Below are 18,686 nucleotides of genomic sequence, written 5' to 3'. Positions count from 1 at the left end.
GTTTGAGACCAGCCTGGCCAACATGGCGAAACCCCGTTTTTACTAAAAATATAAAAATTAGCTGGGTGTGATGGCATGTGCCTGTAACCTCAGCTACTCAGGAAATTGAGGCAGGAGAATCACTTGAACCTGGGAGGCGGAGGTTGCAGTGAGTCGAGATTGCACCACTGTACTCCAGCCTGGGTGACAGAGTGAGACTCGTCTCAAAAAAAAAAAAAAAAAGCAATCTGTCATTATACCGTCCTCCAGGGCACATTCCCTCACAGGGACTCTTTCCCTAATCTTGCCTTTATTGATTGATTGATTGATTGAGACGGAGTCTTGCTCTGTTGCCCAGGCTAGAGTGCAGTGGTGCAGTCTCGACTCAGTACCTCTGTCTCCTGGGCTTAAGCAATTCTCCTGCCTCAGCCTCCCGAGTAGCTGGGATTATAGGCGCCTGCCACCATGCCTGGCTAATTTTTTGTATTTTTAATAGACACAGGGTTTCACCATGTTGGCTAGGCTGGTCTTGAACTCCTGATCTCGTGATCCGCCTGCCTTGGCCTCCCAAAGTGCTGGGATTACAGACTTGAGCCACCGCGCCTGGCCTAGTCTTGCCTTTAAAACGAAGTCCCTTTTGGGAAACCACCTATATACAAAAATAGGAACCCGTGTGGGTTTCAGTGGGTGTGTCTAGCCCATGTGCTGTGGATGCATCTCCCAGAGCCGATCATGTCACTACATTCCAGCCTGGGTGACAGTCTGTTTTCAGGGGCCACAGGCACAGATGGAGACTCCAGGTCATTTAAGCCCTTCAGATGTTTTAGCCAAATAAACACTGGCCTTTCAGGGGCACCCAAGGTCAGACGGGCACAATTTCAGGAGATAGATCACTTAGTGCTTAGCCAAGGCTGAGACATTAACGGAGATTGAACCAAAGCTAAAACCTCTTAGTCTTTCAAAGTCACAACAAAACCAACATTGTTTAAATAGCACGTCGCTTAATACATTCTTATAACTTTAAGAGAAAAGAGAGTAGACGGAAAAGAGAAGACAAGCCACCCTCGCCCCGCTGGGTGATTCCCTCTGGGGCTGGCAAGGGTGTCGGCACCTGGGTGTTTGATCAGTTTCCTCCCCGCTAGCTTTGCCACTGACCTGGCATCCACCAGAGCCATGGAGACCTCACACTGGGTAGCTTCTCTTCTGCCAATTGCAGTCTTAGGGACAGGCACAGGGATCAACATACTTTTTCTGCAAAGAGCCAGAGAGTAAATATTTTAGCCTTTGCCAGCTGTGCAGCCCCCGTGGTAATTACCCAGCTCTACTGCAGCTGCTCAGAAGCAGCCACAGATGAGATGTAAATGAAAGGGCGTGGCCAGGTTCCAATGAGACTCTACAAAAATAGGTGGTGAGCGGCATCTGCCCTTTGTGCCATAGTTTGCTGATCCCTGTACTAGGATGGTTTCAGAGTCTGTCTCTCTCCCTCCCTTCCAACAACCTCAGATACATTGACTTAGATCAACCAATCTTTGTTCATGACACATTAGTATCATTGGTCCACGAATGGCCTTACTTATGTATATTTTGTAGACAATATAATGAAGTACCATGAGCCCATCACCCAGACCCAAGACCCAGAATATTCACTACCTGTGCGCTACCTCCCTTTTCCATCCCCCTGCTGCCTCCTTGGACATATACCTGCTGATGGCTCACACCTACAATCCCAACATTTTGGGAAGCCAGCGCAGGAGGATCACTTGAGCCCAGGAATTCGAGACCAGCGTGGGCAACATGGGGAGACCCTATCCTACAAAAAATAAAAAATTAGCTGAGCATAGCGGCCTGCACCTACAGTCCCAGCTACTCGTGAGGCTGAGGCAAGAGGTTCATTTGAGCCCCAGAGACTGAGGCCGCACAGGGAGCTGTGATCACGCCACTGCCAGCCTGGGTGACAGAGCGAGACCCTGTCTCAGAAACAAAAAGATACTGGACGCGGTGGCTCACACCTGTAATCCCAGCACGTTGGGAGGCCAAGGCGGGCGGATTGCTTGAGGTCAGGAGTTTGAGAACAGCCTGGTCAACACTGTGAAACGCTGTCTCTACTAAAAATACAAAAAATTAGCCGGGCGTGGTGGTGGCATCTGTAATCCCAGCTACTCAGGAGGCTGAGGCAGGAGAATTGCTTGAATCCGGGAGGTGGAGGTTGCAGTGAGCCAAGATTGCGCCACTGCACTCCAGCCTGGGTGTCAGAGCGAGACTCCATCTCAAAAAAGGAAAAAAAAAAAAAAGAAACAAAAAGATATATACCTGCTGAACTTGGGGTTTAGCCCTCCCTATCTTTATCCATATATGTATGCTAAACATAGTGTTTAGTTTTACTTGGTTTTGAACTTTATAAAAAGGATATTATGTGGAGTCTTTTGAAAGCTAGGTTTTTTGGCCTCGGCACGGTTACTGAATTCATCCACATCACACAAACGCCTCTTACTCATTTTCACTGCAGCATATCCTCATCGCGTGTATGAGCTTCTTTCCAGGATCATAGCTTCTCCAGTTTCGTGCTTGTTTCCAAAAAGAGGACTATATCTCTGATGCATTTGAATCAAAGGACCGGGTGTCAAAAAGTGCTTTTGGCACAGCTGGGATGTAGGTGTGGGAAAGATCCCGTTTATTGCTCTTTTTTTTTTTTTCCTATTTTTTTTTTTTTCCCCAGAAAAAGATTGACCTGCTCTTATAAAATATTTAATTTACAAATATGAGGCTGGGCGCGTTTGCTCATACCTGTAATCCCAGCACTGTGAGAGGCCGAGGCAGGTGGATCACTTGAGGTCATGAGTTCGAGGCCAGCCTGGCCAACAGGGTGAAACCCCGTCTCTACTAAAAATACGGAAATTAGCCGGGCGTGGCGGCGCGCACTTGTAGTCCCAGCTATTCGGGAGGCTGAGGCAGGAGAATCGCTTGAACCCAGGAGGCGGAGGTTGCAGTGAGCTGAGATCATGCCACTGCACTCCAGCCTGGGGACAGAGGGAGACTCCATCTCAAAATAAATAAATAAATTTACAGATATGAGTCCTAGACACTGTCCCAGTCACTAGAGATGAGCAGTGAGCCACACACATGGAACCACAGGACTCCCGTTCTGGTGGAGGACGCAGATGATGAGTGAGTAAAAGCTGGAACTATGGCTGTGCAGGACAAGGTGCTCAGTGGGACCCCAAGTGCACGCCTCTGAGAAACTCAAGCCGGACTTCCCTGGCGAATGCGAAGCTCGTGGAACCAACAAGCGTTACGCTCATTTGGACGGGGCGGGAGTAGCATCCCACAAGACTCTTTTGTTTTTGCTTTTGGGTTCTTTAATCATTAGTAGCTTAGGTCTCTGTTGTCTGTGGCTTTCTGCTTCAGGCCAAGTAGAGGAAATTCGAGGCTGGGCATGGTGGCTCACACCTGTAATCCCAGCACTCTGGGAGGCCAAAGCAGGTGGATGGCTTGAGCCCAGGAATATGAGACCAGCCTGGGCAACATAGTGAGATTGTGTCTCTATAAAAACAAAAAGTAGCCAGGCATACTGGCGTGCACCTATAGTTCCAGCTACTAGGGAGGCTGAGGTGGGATGATCTCTTGAACCTGGGAGGTCGAGGCTGCAGTGAGCTGTGATTGCGCCGCTGCACTCCAGCTTCAGTGACAGAGACCCTGTCTTAGGGGGAAAAAAAAAGAAGAAGAAAATTTTGATCTTAGCCTGGTTTCTTTCTATCCTCTGCTTCCAGAATGTCATGGGCTAGGGTTGCAAAGCCACTCCACAATTTGCTATAGGCTCAACATGATTAAGAAGGAAACTGGGGGTCAGGAGGGCTGCTGTTTTTCAAAAGCCACATAGATTTCTCGGGGTGGGGTGTCACCGTGCTCCTGCTGTTTCTGCACTTGCCTTGTGCCCAGCTATTTTTTGCACACGGAGACCTGGAGCGTAGCCGCCTGTCAGTGTAGCATCACCTCTGTCTGAGAGGGCAGAGAGGGTGTTATGGCATGACTGAGTTAAAAGCCATGGCCACAATGGGGCCCAAACATTGAGTAGCCGAGGTCTTCCTGCCTTAGCCTGGAAGCCACAGTCTGATGGGGGAACCAGCCTGCCTTTGAGTGGGTTATTTTTGTTTCCATTTTCAAAGGTAGCATTTGTGACCCATGTGTTCTAGGTGAGGAATCGCCCCTTCTTGACCACACGAGCTAAAACTAGGCGTGGAGACGGGCAGCAAGACAGTGTGGAGGGTGACTCATCTCTGCCCGGACGGTCACACCTGCACTGTCCCCTGGCAGCAGGACCAGACACCCGGCCCTTTCCCACCTGTCCTGCAGAAGGCTAAGGGGACAGGGTGGTTCTTTAACTAGGGCATTGGTGTGGGCACTAAAACAGCCCTCCAGGATGTCCACACCCAAAACCATGGCCCTCCAGTGATTCTTACGGAGATGTCATGAGTAACTTTCCATCCCAGGGCCTGGCAGTGCCTGTGTTCCCCTCCCCCCTTGGTCACCTTGGCACAGCTGGACTGCGGTAGAAAGGGCTGTGGAGCAGCCTCCAGCTTCCCCTGGCTCACCCCGTCCCATGCCTCCACCCAGAGCCTCCACCAGGAGCTGGTGAGAGCCCTACTGCCGGGGTTGGAGCCCTGGCTCTGCCATTTGCCAGCAGCTAGGTGACCTGGGCAGAGTGTTAAGGTTTCTGCACTTCCTCCAAGGCCTGGCCCTCCACCTCCTGCCCCTCACACCCCTCACACCCCTCACACCCAGCTTCCAGCATCTCTCTTCCCACCACCTCTCTTCCGGACACAAGTGCACAGGGCCTGCCCCCTGCCTTGCGAGCCTAAATCCTCCCCGAAGTGCCAGGCACCTCATAGGGCTATGTTGGCGGGCTCAGGGGTGCCCCCTGGACTCACACCCCAGCCCTTGCCCAGCCTTCATTTGACTGTAAAACAAGGGATGGAGCCACCCGGAAGGGTGTGGGGCTCCTGAGGTTTCCAGAGAGCACTGCCATGCCAGCAGCGGTGAGGATCCCAGATGTGGTGGCCGTGTTCACCTTCATCCTAAGGCACTTCCAGGTACCCCGCACGGTTCTCCTGCTCCGAACACTTTGCACCTTCTAGAGCTCTGCTCTGGTTTGGTGCTTCTGCCCCCACCCTTGGGGGACAGATTCCGTGTTCGCGCCTCACTCTGCATTTGCTGGAACCTTCGTCCTCCGGCCCCATCTTTGCTCCCTGCCTTGTGGGTCCTTCTCCCCAAACCACAGGGACCCAGGAAGGCCTCCGTGGCTGAGCAGTGGTGCGTGGGTCGCCCTGTTGGTCCGTGAGGCTTGGACGGGGAGCAGCAGCGTTGCTTGTGCTTTCTGCCGAGGTCAGCTGTCCATGGGCTGAGGGGGGCCAGCAGGGTCTGGCAGGTGCTACCTGTTCACCTCCTGGCCTGCTCCCCCCCAACCTGCTGGCCAGTTGGGCTTTGGATGTGACCCCACCCTGAGAGCTGCCCTGGGGCGTCCATCTTCTCTCCGCACAAATCTCCCTTCCCCTTCAAGCCCTGTGTGACCAGGATCTCCGACACATAAGACAAAAGGAAATAGGGTTTTTAGAGTGGACGGGTGGGTAGAGCACCCTCCCTGACCTGTGGTCATTCTTCCAGTTCGTGCAAATGGCAAGGGGGTTATATCGAGATCTCCAAGAAGACACGGGGCGGAGGGCTGGGGTGCAGCCTGCACTTGCAGCTGCTGTGACAGCCCAGGCCAAGTCCTCCAGCTGGAGACGGGGCTACACAGATGCACACCCCCCAGGACAAGCTTAGGGAGTCTGGGGGCGCCGCTCAGCATGGGGCTTGTTTGGGAAGCTGTGCTGAGGAGGAAGGGAAAGGGGAGTGGGGACCTCAGCCCCCCTGCTTTCATTCTTTCCTGGGTGTGTGGACCCTGGGATTCCAGCCTTCATGTCCTTCATGTCCCTGTTTCTGTCTCCTGAGAAATGCAGCAAGTCAGGCTCAGCCCACAGGCCACATGACCCTGGGTCCGACGAACAGCCAGGGCTCAAAGACAGTCAGTGCCAATGAGCCTGAAGCCTGGGCCCGGACCTCACGTTCGTCCCCAAAAATGGATCGGCTTGGGAGGAACAGTGCCCTGCCCACCTCGCGCTGTCGCAGCCCCCCAGCAACAGTGCGAGGAGAGAATCTGCTGCTGCCCCTGGCTCCGGAGTTGTCACCCTGGCCCCCTGCTCATCTGTTGTAGGGGGGCGGGTTGCAGGGATGGGTAGGGGTTTCCTCGGTGCCTCTCCAGGCTCCCTCTGCCTCCTGCCCTGCACGGTCCTGCTCCTGTCCCTGCTCCGGCTCTGGCTTAGGGTTTGCAGGGCTGAGCTTGGCTGTTCCGTGGGTCTTGACGGAGAAAATGCAGAGCTGCACTTCCCTCCACAAAGCCGCACTGTTCTCAGCAAATCCTCCCGGGGTCTGGTGCATTGTTTTCAAGTGATTCAGCAGCACGTGAATGGGAAGGGCCGAGCCGGAGGCTCTGGCATGAGACCTGCTGGCCCACCAGGGAAAGGGAGGGCAGCGGGACGTGGGCCCCGAGGTCCTCCCAGAGCTGCAGAGGGAGGGGGCAGGGCCCTGGGGTTGGGGAGGGCGGCAGGAAGGCTGGGCAGAGAGGGCGGCTTTGCTCTGCGTGGCTGAGGTGCTCTGATAGATGCTGTTTCCCAAGAGGAGCCAAAACGAATGGGCAGGAAGTGAGATGGGAGAGCTGGTCTCCATGGAGACGGGCACCCAGTGGCCAGCAGCTCACGTGCACTAGAATCTCAGGCAGCCGGGGAGGGAGCATTCCCTGGGGCGGCAGGGCCTGGAGCACCCCCAGGTGCCCGCTGGCAGGCGGTGTGGCCCCGGCTGAGGCTGCGCTTCTGTTCCCTGATCTCTGTTGTGCACCCTGTTACCTTCTCTGCCCCACCCTCCTCCGCACCCTCCCCAACAAAATATCTTTTCTGAGTAGTTGTCATTCCAGGCGTTTTTCACCCTGGCCTGAGTCATGCTGGCCAAGTCCTCTGTCCTCACCCTGGATGTCACGGTCCCGCCCTGCACCAGGGCTGCAAGTCACCACTGAGGGTGGACCTGGGGCCTCTCTGTCCCAGCCACCCACAAACTCTCAAGGTCAGAGTCTGGAAAGGGAGGTGGTGCCCCATGTCTTCACTTCCGGTGTCTACACCCTCAACTGGGGACGGATGTCCAGTGTGCTCCTATGGTGCCCCCTCTGCTGAGGTCTTTCCTGCTTCCCAGAAGGCCCCGTTGCTGGCTTCCGGGGGCCGAGGAGGTTGGAGGACCTGAGGGTGGGTCTGGCCTCCACAGCAGCTGCAGGGCGGGAAGAGCCTGGTTCCTGCCCAGCACCACAGGGCTGTTTTTAATTACCAAGTCACGGCCCTCTTTTCTGCTCATTTCCCTAAAAGGAGTGAATTTGGAGGAGGTCTGCCGCACCCGCTGACCAAAAGGGGCTGGCATGAAGGGGCCGAGGAAGGGCAGAGCCCAGTGCCCGGGGGAGACCCTCTGACTGCCCACCAAGGGCACCCGGCTGTGTCACTTGAGGCCAGAGGCTGAAGGTGAGCTGGACCAGCTAACCCTCACTGTCACCTCACAACACTTGTGACACTTCCTGGCTGCTCAGCCTTGCCCCGTGCCCCTGGGCAGTTCCGTTGGGAGAGGCGTGGCCTCCAAACCTAGAGGACTAGAGCAGGTCTGGGGTCCTTGTGAGCACAGCCCCTTCCTGGATCACCGTCTGCCATCCCTGGTGGCGTTTGTGGCCACTTCTGCTGCTCCAGCTGGCGAGGTCGGCCCCATCCTGCTAAAAGAAGGAGGTGCTGCCCGAATGGAGAGCTTCCATGTTTCTAAGCTGTCTTTACTGTGATCCTGAAGCCCAACGAGATTAGTTACACACAAACATTTAGGGATCCCACAGCGATCTGAGAGCAGGGCCATGAAAAATAGTCATTTATTACAGCAGTTGCAGGGCAGGGCCACAGCTGTGTTACTGGACATCTGTCCTGAGCTGAGGGTGTAGACACCAGAAGTGGGGAAAGTGGGCTTCACCTCCCTTTTCAGACTCTGATCTTGTGGGTGGCTGGGGCAGAGGGGCCCCTGGTACACCCTCAGCTGGCGCTTTAGACATATTAATCAAAATGGTCAGGCCGGGCCAGGTGGCTCACGCCTGTAATCCCAGCACTCTGGGAGGCCAAGATGGGTGGATCACGTGAGGTCAGGAGTTCAAGACCAGCCTGGCCAACATGGTGAAACCCCATCTCTACTAAAAATACACAAAATAAAAATCAGCCGGGCATGGTGGCGGGCACCTGTAATCCCAGCTACTCCAGAGGCTGAGGCAGGAGAATCGCTTGAACCCAGGAGGCCGAGGTTGCAGTGAGCCAACGTCGTGCCATTGCATTCCAGCCTGGGCGACAAGAGCGAAACTCTATCTCAAAAAAAAAAGAGGATATGGAGCCCCTGCCAGGTTGACCAGCCATATGGTGTCATTACATCCACCCAAAAGGGACAAGAGACTCTCATCCCCAATGGCAACGCCAAGTTATAGTTACAGATGTTAGCAAGGGCGTTACTAACTGTGTGATTTGAGGGTGTGGACATTGGCACTCATGGCACCCCACTTTTCTGGAGAGTTTAGACAAGGCGTGGAACGTCACAGTCCTTTCCCAGTGAAAGAACAAAGCTGAGTCCACCTGCAACTGCCATTGGATCCTCCCCAGGAGTAAGTGGAGGTTGGGTTTCATCCGGGAGAGAAAATGGTTTCTTTGATAATTCCTCTGAAATGACTGGCATGTAATTCCACCCAGAGCCAAATGAACCAAATGACGCTCAGAAGACGTCTGCGGCTCCGGCCTGCAGTTACCGCGTTTGCGTCTACGCAGTGTGGAGTCCTCCAGGGCTGGCCCCTGGGATGCATGCAGTGGCCACTGGTCTTCATTGCCACTGTGGGTGCTCTGGGCTGACTCTGACCCAGCTGCAGCATCAGAATGCCCCCCACCCACTAGTGATGTGGGCCAGTAGGGTCTTTGGCACATGTGTGAAGCCCCCACCCGACTCCCAGGAATGACCCATGTTGAGAACATGGGGACCCCTTGGCGTTCTCCGCTGGGCCATAAGCAGGACAGGACAGAGGGGAAGGAGGCGCTTTCCCTGCCAGTGCTGGTCCTATGGGCGCCCCTCCCCAGGTGAAAGCTGGAGCCTGCAGAAGAGGGTGGACGGCTGGGAGGGGCCAGTGCCCTCCAGTGATACTGAGCAAACCCTCCCAGTCCGAGTCAGTGTGCACACAAGGTGCAGATGATCGGGCCGGGTTTTGACTTTGTATTTAGCAGCCGAATGTGTTTCTGAGTCCCAGGGATCCCTGCACCTCGTCTGGGCAGACAGGTGACTTTGAGGGACAGTGGGCCACCTTCTCCCGCTGCCTGAGCACGTCCCGTAGCCGAGACAGGCGCTATGCTGTTACAGTGTGTGGAGTGCCCCGGGGAGAGGCTGTGAGTGGTCTAGACGTTGGGTGTTGATATCCACCGGTTTGCCTGTCCCAAACTTGGGCCTGGGAGCCCGGCAGAGTGGCTCAAGTGGAAAATGTTCTATATGGTATATTTATACATATAGCATGTGGGATTCCTCCAGCGAGCAGTTGGGCCCCTGGCAAGATAATAAAGAGAATTCAATGAGTGTGGAATAAGTACATTTCTTACAGGCAATTTTCTTTTTCTTTCAAAGGCAGGGTCTGGTTCTTTCACCCAGGACCGAGGTGCAGTGGTGCATTCATAGCTCACTGCAGCCTTGAACATCTAGTTCATACAATTCTCCTGAGTAGCTGGGACTATAGGCAGATGCCACCACGCCCAGCTAATTTTTGTTTTTTTTTGTTTTTGTTTTTTGTATTTTGTTTTTTATAGATGAGGTATTGCTATGTTGCTCAGGCTGGTCTTGAACTCCTAGCTTCAAGCAACCCATCCACCTTGGCCTCCCAAGTGCTGGGATTACAAGTGTGAGCCACTGCACCCGGCCTTTCGAGGCAATTTTCTTTTGGGGTCTGTCTCCCTCCCCCAATTGTGGGCATGGCTTGTTCTTATTTTCCGCAGGAACTTCCATAGTACTTCTGTGGACACAGGAGGATTGGAAAGATGTTGGTGGGTGTATGAAGGGGACGTGAGGACGCAGGACCCACGTGTTGATGGCAGCAGAGGGGACACCGAGGAGAGAGAACAAGGGAGGACCGTGCCACAGAAGCCGTGGCGTCTCTGCCTGGGGCTGGCGTGGTTGGAGTCTGTGGAGAGTGCCGCCCCTCCGGCCAGCCCTTGGCCCTGGCACATGCTGGTGACACCAGGTTCTCCAGCAAGCCCCCTTCACTGTCTGCTCCCCTCCGAGAGCAGCAGCAGCCGGTCCGGCCTCTGATGGTTTTCCAGGGGCGGTTGTGACTGTCGAAGTCTGACCGTAGCCCATCCTCTTTGGATCGTCTCCCGCGACCTTGGTTTTCCGCCCACCCGGTTCTTTTCCGTCCCCACTCTGGCGGGTGCGCTCGGGATTGTTTTTGCAGGGGGGAAGTGACATCATATGGTGTCCTGGGCTGGAGGGGTGGGGGTGGGGACCCTGCAGTTGCGTGTGCTTTGAATTCAGCCGACGGTTGTACATTCCAGTAGCCGGCATCTGGCGGTGAATTCATCAGCCAGTGTATCACCCTTGATCTCAAACCCAGATGTTGTGTTCACAGCAGAAGGGAAAGAAGGAAAAACGAAATCTGAGACGCCCAGGGAGAGGCCGTGGTTTCTGGGCTCAGGGCAGTTAGAACGAGAGTCTTTATAAAGACTCCCCCTCTCGCAGCTGCCTCTGGCTCCTTGGGGAAGGGGCAGAGGAGCAGAGCAGCCCCTCTCGGGGGCATGGACAGGAGATGGGCTGACACCCACCCCAGTGCCTAACACCAGGCCCAGCACCCAGTAGGTGTTCAGTAAACGTGTCTGTGCCACAATTTTCATTTCTTCCCAGATTCCTTATGTCTCTTCGCTTTCCCCAGCCCTGTTCTTCACATGGCCTGGGACTCGGAGAGGCCCTCCCTCTTTTGAAGTGGCCTGCTTTCCCCTACAGAACTGGTGGTCCATCCTGGAGCTCAGAGTGCGGACCATTGCCATTGGCATGGAAATGTATTCCGGAGAGCTCTCTCTCCCTCCTCCTCTGTCCACCACTGGGCATTGGAAACTCTCCTTCTCTGTGTTCCTATCCATCGTCTGTCATCTTGCCTGGATTGGATGCTCCTCCCAGGCAAGGCCTGCTGTATGCAGGATTCACCCTGTACCCTCTCTTCACCTGCTGTCACCTCTGGGCAACAACCCCCGACAGGTACCCGCTGCTCTGAGCAGGTCAGCGGTGCAGATCCCGCTATGCCAACTGGTGTGCACCGATCAGAGCTGTCAGCTGGCCCCTCTCCTTCATGTCTGCGGCGTGCTGGTGCTTTGGGGAAGGTTGCCGTGGAACTGGTCCTTCTTTGCCTCTCTTGATTCCCATTTTCCTTCTTTCATGTAATTTCTCATTTTGCAAAGTGGGGGAGGAGGTGCCCACCCCCAATTTAAAGGGACCCTGAAGAATCTGAATTCTGTTCCCCAGGGGCAGACTAAAGCAGCCCAGGGGAGATGGAGATGCCCTCAGGCTCTGCTCCTCCAGGCCCCTCACCCCCACTTCCCTGCCCCTCACCCCCACTTCCCTGCAGGCATCTGGCGGCCTCCTCGCCAGTTCACTTTCTAGTCCTAACCCCACGTGGCTACCCTGGACCCTTGATTTGACCAGCCTCCTCTTTTCTGACACTTTAAAGAAGGAAAGTGTGTAATCTGCAGCCCCCAGGCAAAGCTAGCACGCTGGGAAGCTGCATCAAATCGAGAGTCTGTGGCCTGCTGACCAGGACCGGGTCTGTGTACCTGAGTGGCATGATGCCACCGTCCCAATCCCTCACCCACGGGAGCGGGAGAATTCGCCCTGCTTGTCTATGCGATGCTCGTGGTCCTGAACTGTACACGCATTAGTTCCCGGGCACCGCAGCCTCCACACCAGCCCCTCTAACAGTCACCACGACCTTGTGAAGTGTCAAGACTGTTGTCATCGTCTCTGTCTTAGGTGTGAACAACTGTGGCTCAGTGAAGTCAAGGAGCTTCTCAAAGATCACGCAGCCATCCAGGGGTGAATGCAGGATCTCTGTCTCTTGCTGCCTCCTTCAAATAAGTGCCCAGCTGCCACCTGGGAGCCTTAGGCGTTTTTGTAAGAGAACAGCATGTGAACCTCAATGCCCATGGTAGGATGCAACATTTTGGCCGTTTTGAAGTAATCTTTGCTTATTTTCTGAACTCCAGTGACATGCTTGTTGAGTGCCTATTGTGCGTTAAGCATTGTGCGGCTTAGTGGACCATTGAAAGGCAGCTCCAAGGCCGGGCGCGGTAGCTCATGCCTGTAATCCCAGCACGTTGGGAGGCCGAGGCAGGCGGATCACGAGGTCAGGAGTTCAAGACCATCCTGGCCAGCATGGTGAAACCCCGTCTCTACTAAAATAAATACAAAAAATTAGCCGGGCATGGTGGCGCGTGCCTGTAATCCCAGCTACTTGGGAGGCTGAGGCAGGAGAATTGCTTGAACCCAGGAGGCGGAGGTTGCAGTGGGCCAAGATTGCACCATTGCACTCCAGCCTGGATGACAGAGCTAGACTCCATCTCAAAAAAAAAAAAAAGAAAGAAAGAAAAGAAAAGCAGCTCCAGAAATTTCCAAAATAACATACAGAATTCAGCAGACTGTAATAAAGGCCGGCTTGCTGCTCCTACTGGAACTGTTGATTCCTTTGGATTCTGCTGGCTTGCTTTTTTTCCTTTTCTTTCTTTTCTTTTTTTAAAAGACGGAGTCTCACTCTGTTGCCCAGGCTGGAGTGCAGTGGCATGATCTCAGCTCACTGCAACTTTCACCTCCTGGGTTCAAGCGATTCTCCTGCCTCAGCCTCCCAAGTGGCTGGGATTTTTGTATTTTTTGTAGAGATGGGGTTTCACCATGTTGGCTAGGCTGGTCTCAAACTCCTGACCTCAAGTGATCCGCCCGCCTCGGCCTCCCGAAGTGCTGGGATTATAGGAGTGAGCCACCGTGCCTGGCCCTGGTTTGCTTGTGAGCTGGTGACTCTGCTACATGAAGAGCAAACTTTGACCAAGTTAATCTGGCACATTGACTAATTTGCATAAACATTTTTGGTGCAGCATTGTCGTAAGGTATATAGATTAGGCAGGGAGCAAGAGAGCCAAGGACAAACTGCACCTGGGCCACCAGCCCAAAGTTGTCAGCGTCATCTCAGCTCCATCTGGCAAAGAGTTAGTGAGCACCAACTGTTCTGCAGTCAGAATCTAGCCTCAACCTGTTAGGACCTCCCAGGGCCCTGAGCAGACAGGTGTGCAGGAACTGACAGCAGGATGGAAAAGAGATGGGGAATATACCAAGTGCTGCAGAAGGACAGGATTTCCCAGAGGAAGACAGAAAAGGGCTATTTTAGCTGGGTCTTGAAGAATGAAGAAAAGTTCTCCAGGCAGAGAGGGGAGATGGCATTTGGGGCGGAAGAAACTTGCCTGTTCAGGCTGGGTGTGGTGGCTCACACCTGTAATCCCAGCACTTTGGGAGGCCAAAGTGGGCGGATCACTTGAGGTCAGGAGTTCGAGACCAGCCTGGCCAACATGCTAAAACCCTGTCTCTACTAAAAATACCAAAAAAAAAAAAAATTAGCCTGGCAAGGTGGCAGTTACCTGTAACCCCAGCTACTCAGGAGGCTGAGGCAGGAGAATTGCTTGAACCTGGGAGGTGGAGGTTGCAGTGAGCTGAGATCAAGCCATTGCACTCCAGCCTGGGTGACAAAAGTGAAACTCCGTCTCAAAAAAATATATATGGTAATTAGCCAGGCATGGTGGTGCCCACCTGTAATCCCAGCTACCTGGGAAGCTAAGGCAGGAGAGTCATTTGAACCTGGGAGATGGCTGAGATTGCGCCACTGCACTCCAGCCTAGCAGGGGTGGGGATGACAGAGCAAGACTCTGTCTAAAAAAAAAAGAAAGAAAGAAACTTGTCTGTTCAGAGGTGTGGATGCACCTGGGCGTGTTCAGGGCAGACAAGTATTATGAAGTGGTAGAATAGTGGGAGCATGGGTGGGGGGTGTTGGGCACAGCAGCTGAGGCCCCTGGCTGACTTCAGGTTGCAAAGGCGCTCATATTTTAGGGGAGGGCAGGGGGCAGCCAAGGATGATGTTTGAGCAGAAACGAACGTGAATAAAAAAAGACAGCTGGTTGCGGTGGATGAGAGGATGGTTAGGAGGGCACTGGAAATAGGGGGCCGTCAGGGCAAAGCCGTCTGTTCTGGAGTGGCCTGCCGGGAGACATTTCCTAGATGTGGCTTTTCAGGATGAGGCATGGATTAGCCTGGGAAACAGGAACCTGTGGCCTTGGCCAGTCATGACTCAGCTCCAACAGAAGAAGAAAGAAGAAAGGGGTTTGTGCCCAGGCGAGGCAGTGGGGCTGTGGTGTGGGACTCTGATGCCAGCCTGGGATCCAGAGAGCATTGGTGGGGCCCAGGGGGATGGACACAGATGGAGCACCCACACGCCTGAGCCTCCTTGCCCCTGTGGGAAGAGACAGCCCTGCCTAAGGGGTTCTAAGAGATTTGAGCCGACCACGTGGGGTGGGGCTGGGGCTGGGGCTAGGAGGCTGCCTGGAGCCTGGCGTGGTCTGCTCCTTACCTCTCTGTTTTGCTCATATCCACCGTAACATAACACTTACCCAGAGTGACCCTGAAGAGCTGAGTTTGGGAGGGCAAAGCTTTTAAAGCCATTAAAACAGACCATGTCACCAACTAATGGCCTTGAAATTAAGAAAGGGAGGGCTCTACCCAACCCTGCCCAAGTGACAGCATGAACTACTGATCTGCTTGTCCTCAGGTTACCAGGAGTGGAACAGAATCCTGGCTTAATTGCTAGGAGAAAGCCCTGTGTTGCATGGCCTGTCAGCAACCTCAGGCTCCAGAATATTCTGGAATTGCCCCAGCCCAGCCTCTTCCCCAACTCCTTTCTGTTTGGTTGGGGCTTAGTTGGGATCCTCTTTCCTTCTGTTTGTCCTTCCTCAGCATCTGTCCCTTGGGTCTGCCAGCTGTGCCTGCCGATGTCTCCTTTGGGTGAAACTTCCTGCCCCTGCCCCTGTTGTGCCCCTGATAGACTCTGTGTTACTGTAAAGAATCACCCAGGCTGGGCGCAGTGGCTCACGCCTGTAATCTCAGCACTTTGGGAGGCCGAAGCAGGTGGATCATTTGAAGTCAGGAGTTCGAGAACAGCCTGGCCAACATGATGAAACCCTGTCTCTACTAAAAATACAAAAATTAAGGTTGGGCACTGTAGCTCATGCCTATAATCCCAGCACTTTGGGAGGCTGAGGCAGGTGGATCACCTGAGGTCAGGAGCTCAAGACCAGCCTGGCCAACATGGCGAAACGCTTTCTCTACTAAAAATACAAAAATTAGCTGGGTGTGGTGGCAGCTGCCTATAATCAGAGCTACTTGAGAAGCTGAGGCAGGAGAATTTCTTGAACCCAGGAGGCAGAAGTTGCAGTGAGCCAAGATCATGCCACTGCACTCTAGCCTGGACGACAGAGTGAGACTCCGTCTGAAAAAAAAAAAAAATTAACCGGGCGTGGTGACAGACGCCTGTAATCCCAGCTACTTGAGAGGCTGAGGCAGGAGAATCACTTGAACCTGGGAGATAGAGGTTGCAGTGAGCCAAAACGGTGCCACTGCACTCCAGCCTGGGCAACAGCGCGAGACTCCATCTCAATAACAACAACAACAAAAATTACTCATAGAACATTTTCCAGGTCAGGAAAGATGAGAAGAGCTGGATAGACCTTTCCAGATGTAAGACCCCCAAAGCTAAATATGCCGGGTACGTTTAAGGCCCCTTTAAGGTGGATAACTCCCCCTCTGCCCTCAGCCCAGAAAAGCTTGTTTCCAATAGGCCGTGGCTGGAGGGTGGGGAAATGTCCCATCCTTCGCGGAATGTGTGGGATTGTGGGTCAGTTCCATGGGGTACCTGCTTGCCCCAGCCACCAGTGAGTACCCACTGGAGAGAAGGAAAAAAAAAGCCAAAAGCACTCAAGCATGATATCAACAGATGAGCTTCAGTCAAATCAATGACTGCCTCCCACTGTTACAGAAACTGCCTTGGTCACAAGGGACTCTGGGCTTCTGGCTTGGGCCCCTGTCAACAAAGAAGGGATTCTTGTTGAAGAATCGTGGAAGGAGGAGGAGGAGGCTGGGCATCATCTCTCAGCCTGGAGGAGGAGACGCCATGCCGGGGGCTGGGATCACCATGCCCCTTGCCCGTCTCGCACCTTGCTGCTGTCTGTAACCCCCCAGCACCTCCCGCAGGCCTGGACGTCTTATCCCTCTCCTTAGCCCCAGGAGCGTGTTTCAGGAACTCTCCTCACCTCTGTGTCTTGTGTTTTGCAGTGATCAGGGCCAAAGCGGTCAGTGAGAAGGAAGTGGACTCTGGAAACGACATTTATGGCAACCCTATCAAGAGGATCCAGTATGAGATCAAGCAGATAAAGGTAATAGTGGCTGCCGGCATCCCGGGCTGCACTGTGGGCACAGCTGTGGGGTGTTGGGGTTGGCAGAGAGCCTGGGTCCCTGGAACACGATCTGGCCACCTGTGGACTAGAGCAGAGGATGAGGTCATCAAGCTGCAAATAGATCCGATTTCCCTTAATCCTCGAATGCCTGAAAAGTTGTGTGGAGATGACATGCTCCCCACAAATTCAATTCCTTCAGAAACCTGTCCGGGCGTTGCGGCTCACACCTGTAATCCCAGCACTTCGGGAGGCCGAGGTGGGCGGATCACTTGAGCTCAGGAGTTCAAGACCAGTCTGGGCAACATGGTGAAAATCCATCTCTACAAAAAACCAGCCAGGCATGGTAGCGCCCACCTGTGGTCCCAGCTATTCGGGAGGCTGAGGTGGGAGAATCGCTTAAGCCCAGGAGGCAGAGGTTGCAGTGAGACATCTCACCACTGTATTCCAGCCTGGGTGACAGAGTGAGAGCTTGTATTAAAAAAAAAAAAAAAAAATATGTGGCAGGGAGGGCAGGGAGGGCAGGGCCTGGCCTGGGGCAGGAGAGGTGATGCTATTGTCATTGACAGTAACTAACATGGTCTGTAAGAGAGACGAAAATTCATGTCGCAGGTGGAGGGACAGCCGTGTGATATGGTGGTAGTTGTAGTCATCGATATTTAATTTTGTCATTAAAAATAAAAAGTAAACCAGGCACAGTGTCTCATGAGTATAGTCCCAGGTGAGTGGATCACCTGAAGTCAGGAGTTCAAGACCAGCCTGGCCAACATGGAGAAACCCCATGTATCTACTAAAAATACAAAAATTAGCTGGGCGTGGTGGCGAGTGCCTGTGATCCCAGCTACTTGGGAGGCTGAGGCAGGAGAACACTTAAACCTGGGAGGCAGAGGTTGCCGTGAGCTGAGATTGCACCACTGCATTCCAGCCTGTGCGACAAGAGCGAAACTCCATCTCAAAAAAAGAAAAAAAAAAAAGTAGCTGAAAATCAATGTTATCAGAAGGTCAGTGGAATGCTTCATCATCACATGTATGTCAGTTTAAGGGGATGACCTAGTCTCTCAGTGCCTGAGTCTCTTTCTTTACGAAGCAGGAAAGAGGATCTGCTCTTACGACCTCATAAAGGGGTCGTGAAAAGGCCAGTGCCAGTGCCCAGGAAATGCTTTTAGCCTTTTGGCAAATGATGTCATTTAGTACAGCATCAACATAACCTTTCCTGGTACAAGCTGGAGTGTCACTCTCAAGCCATTTGTCATGACATCAGGCATGCTTCCATTCCATTTGGGTTTGCTTATTGAAACTCTTCGGGGGGAAAAAAACAGCCTCCCTGAGTGCTGAGAAAATGCCATTCTTCACCTGGGCAGCAGGTGCGTTCCTGAAAGGCTGTGAGTAAATCACATGTTGAGAAAGCAAACTCTTCTGGCCCATGGAGTTATGTCCTAATTCCTGAGGTGCCTCTCTGCTCTCATTGCCATCAAGTAGACAATATTTGACCAAAATTCCTGGAAATATAGGTTGGGTGGAGTGACTTATGCCTGTAATCCCAGAACTTTGGGAGGCCGAGGCAGGAGGATTGCTTGAGCTCAGGAGTTTGAGACCAGCCTGGGTAATAGAGCGAGACCTCGTCTCTGCTAATTAAAAAAAAAAAAAAGCCAAGCATGGTGGCATGCGCCTATAGTCCCAGCTACTCGGGAGGCTGAGGTGGGAGGATCACTTGAGCCTGGGAAGTTGAGGTTGCAGCCCCAGCCTGAGCAACAGAGTGAGACCCTATCTCAAAAAAATAAAAAATTCCTGGAAATATGCAAAAGTCATGGTCCTTCATGGTGGTCCAGAGTCACGTGGAGGTACAAAAGCCCCTCCCCATAGATTCAGAAATGACCTCTTTGGGGTGGGGGGTGAGGGAACAGAGGTGTTGTCTGAGGATGTCATGCTCCAGATGACAGTCTTTTTTTTTTTTTTTGAGATGGAGTCTTGCTGTCTCCCAGGCTGGAGCGCAGTGGCACGATCATGGCTCACTGCAAGCTCCGCCTCCTGGGTTCACGCCATTCTCCTGCCTCAGCCTCC

The 18,686-nt window shown here is 53.5% G+C and overlaps 1 protein-coding gene across 1 annotated transcript in view, besides 6 other annotated features; it reads left to right on the top strand.

Moving 5' to 3' along the window:
- Window positions 1–18,686, top strand: part of TIMP2 (TIMP metallopeptidase inhibitor 2) — a 72,411-nt gene that overhangs the window by 34,962 nt on the left and 18,763 nt on the right. The window contains exon 2 of the mRNA NM_003255.5: window positions 16,507–16,607. Coding sequence (NP_003246.1) covers window positions 16,507–16,607 — 101 coding nt within the window. The remainder of the gene's footprint in view (window positions 1–16,506; window positions 16,608–18,686) is intronic.
- Window positions 1,367–1,416: a silencer, noted in NCBI's record as "silent region_9076". NCBI's record gives its function as "represses an Ori minimal core promoter by ATAC-STARR-seq in GM12878 lymphoblastoid cells {active_cell/tissue: GM12878}" and the evidence as "EXISTENCE:reporter gene assay evidence [ECO:0000049][PMID:35858748]".
- Window positions 6,325–6,619: an enhancer, noted in NCBI's record as "identical tiled regions #5911 and #8204; HepG2 Activating DNase unmatched - State 1:Tss". NCBI's record gives its function as "activates a minimal TATA promoter and a strong SV40 promoter by Sharpr-MPRA in HepG2 cells {active_cell/tissue: HepG2}" and the evidence as "EXISTENCE:reporter gene assay evidence [ECO:0000049][PMID:27701403]".
- Window positions 8,473–8,973: an enhancer, noted in NCBI's record as "H3K4me1 hESC enhancer chr17:76877535-76878035 (GRCh37/hg19 assembly coordinates)". NCBI's record gives its function as "activates a minimal SCP1, AML or CMV promoter by ChIP-STARR-seq in naive H9 embryonic stem cells {active_cell/tissue: H9 hESC(naive)}" and the evidence as "EXISTENCE:reporter gene assay evidence [ECO:0000049][PMID:30033119]".
- Window positions 9,768–10,659: an enhancer, noted in NCBI's record as "H3K27ac-H3K4me1 hESC enhancer chr17:76875849-76876740 (GRCh37/hg19 assembly coordinates)". NCBI's record gives its function as "activates a minimal SCP1, AML or CMV promoter by ChIP-STARR-seq in primed H9 embryonic stem cells {active_cell/tissue: H9 hESC(primed)}" and the evidence as "EXISTENCE:reporter gene assay evidence [ECO:0000049][PMID:30033119]".
- Window positions 10,660–11,553: an enhancer, noted in NCBI's record as "H3K27ac-H3K4me1 hESC enhancer chr17:76874955-76875848 (GRCh37/hg19 assembly coordinates)". NCBI's record gives its function as "activates a minimal SCP1, AML or CMV promoter by ChIP-STARR-seq in primed H9 embryonic stem cells {active_cell/tissue: H9 hESC(primed)}" and the evidence as "EXISTENCE:reporter gene assay evidence [ECO:0000049][PMID:30033119]".
- Window positions 16,243–16,743: an enhancer, noted in NCBI's record as "H3K4me1 hESC enhancer chr17:76869765-76870265 (GRCh37/hg19 assembly coordinates)". NCBI's record gives its function as "activates a minimal SCP1, AML or CMV promoter by ChIP-STARR-seq in naive H9 embryonic stem cells {active_cell/tissue: H9 hESC(naive)}" and the evidence as "EXISTENCE:reporter gene assay evidence [ECO:0000049][PMID:30033119]".

This window comes from Homo sapiens, chromosome 17 (assembly GCF_000001405.40).
Source record: "Homo sapiens chromosome 17, GRCh38.p14 Primary Assembly".
Classification (NCBI taxonomy): domain Eukaryota; kingdom Metazoa; phylum Chordata; class Mammalia; order Primates; family Hominidae; genus Homo; species Homo sapiens.
This window is presented reverse-complemented; position numbering and strand designations above follow the sequence as displayed.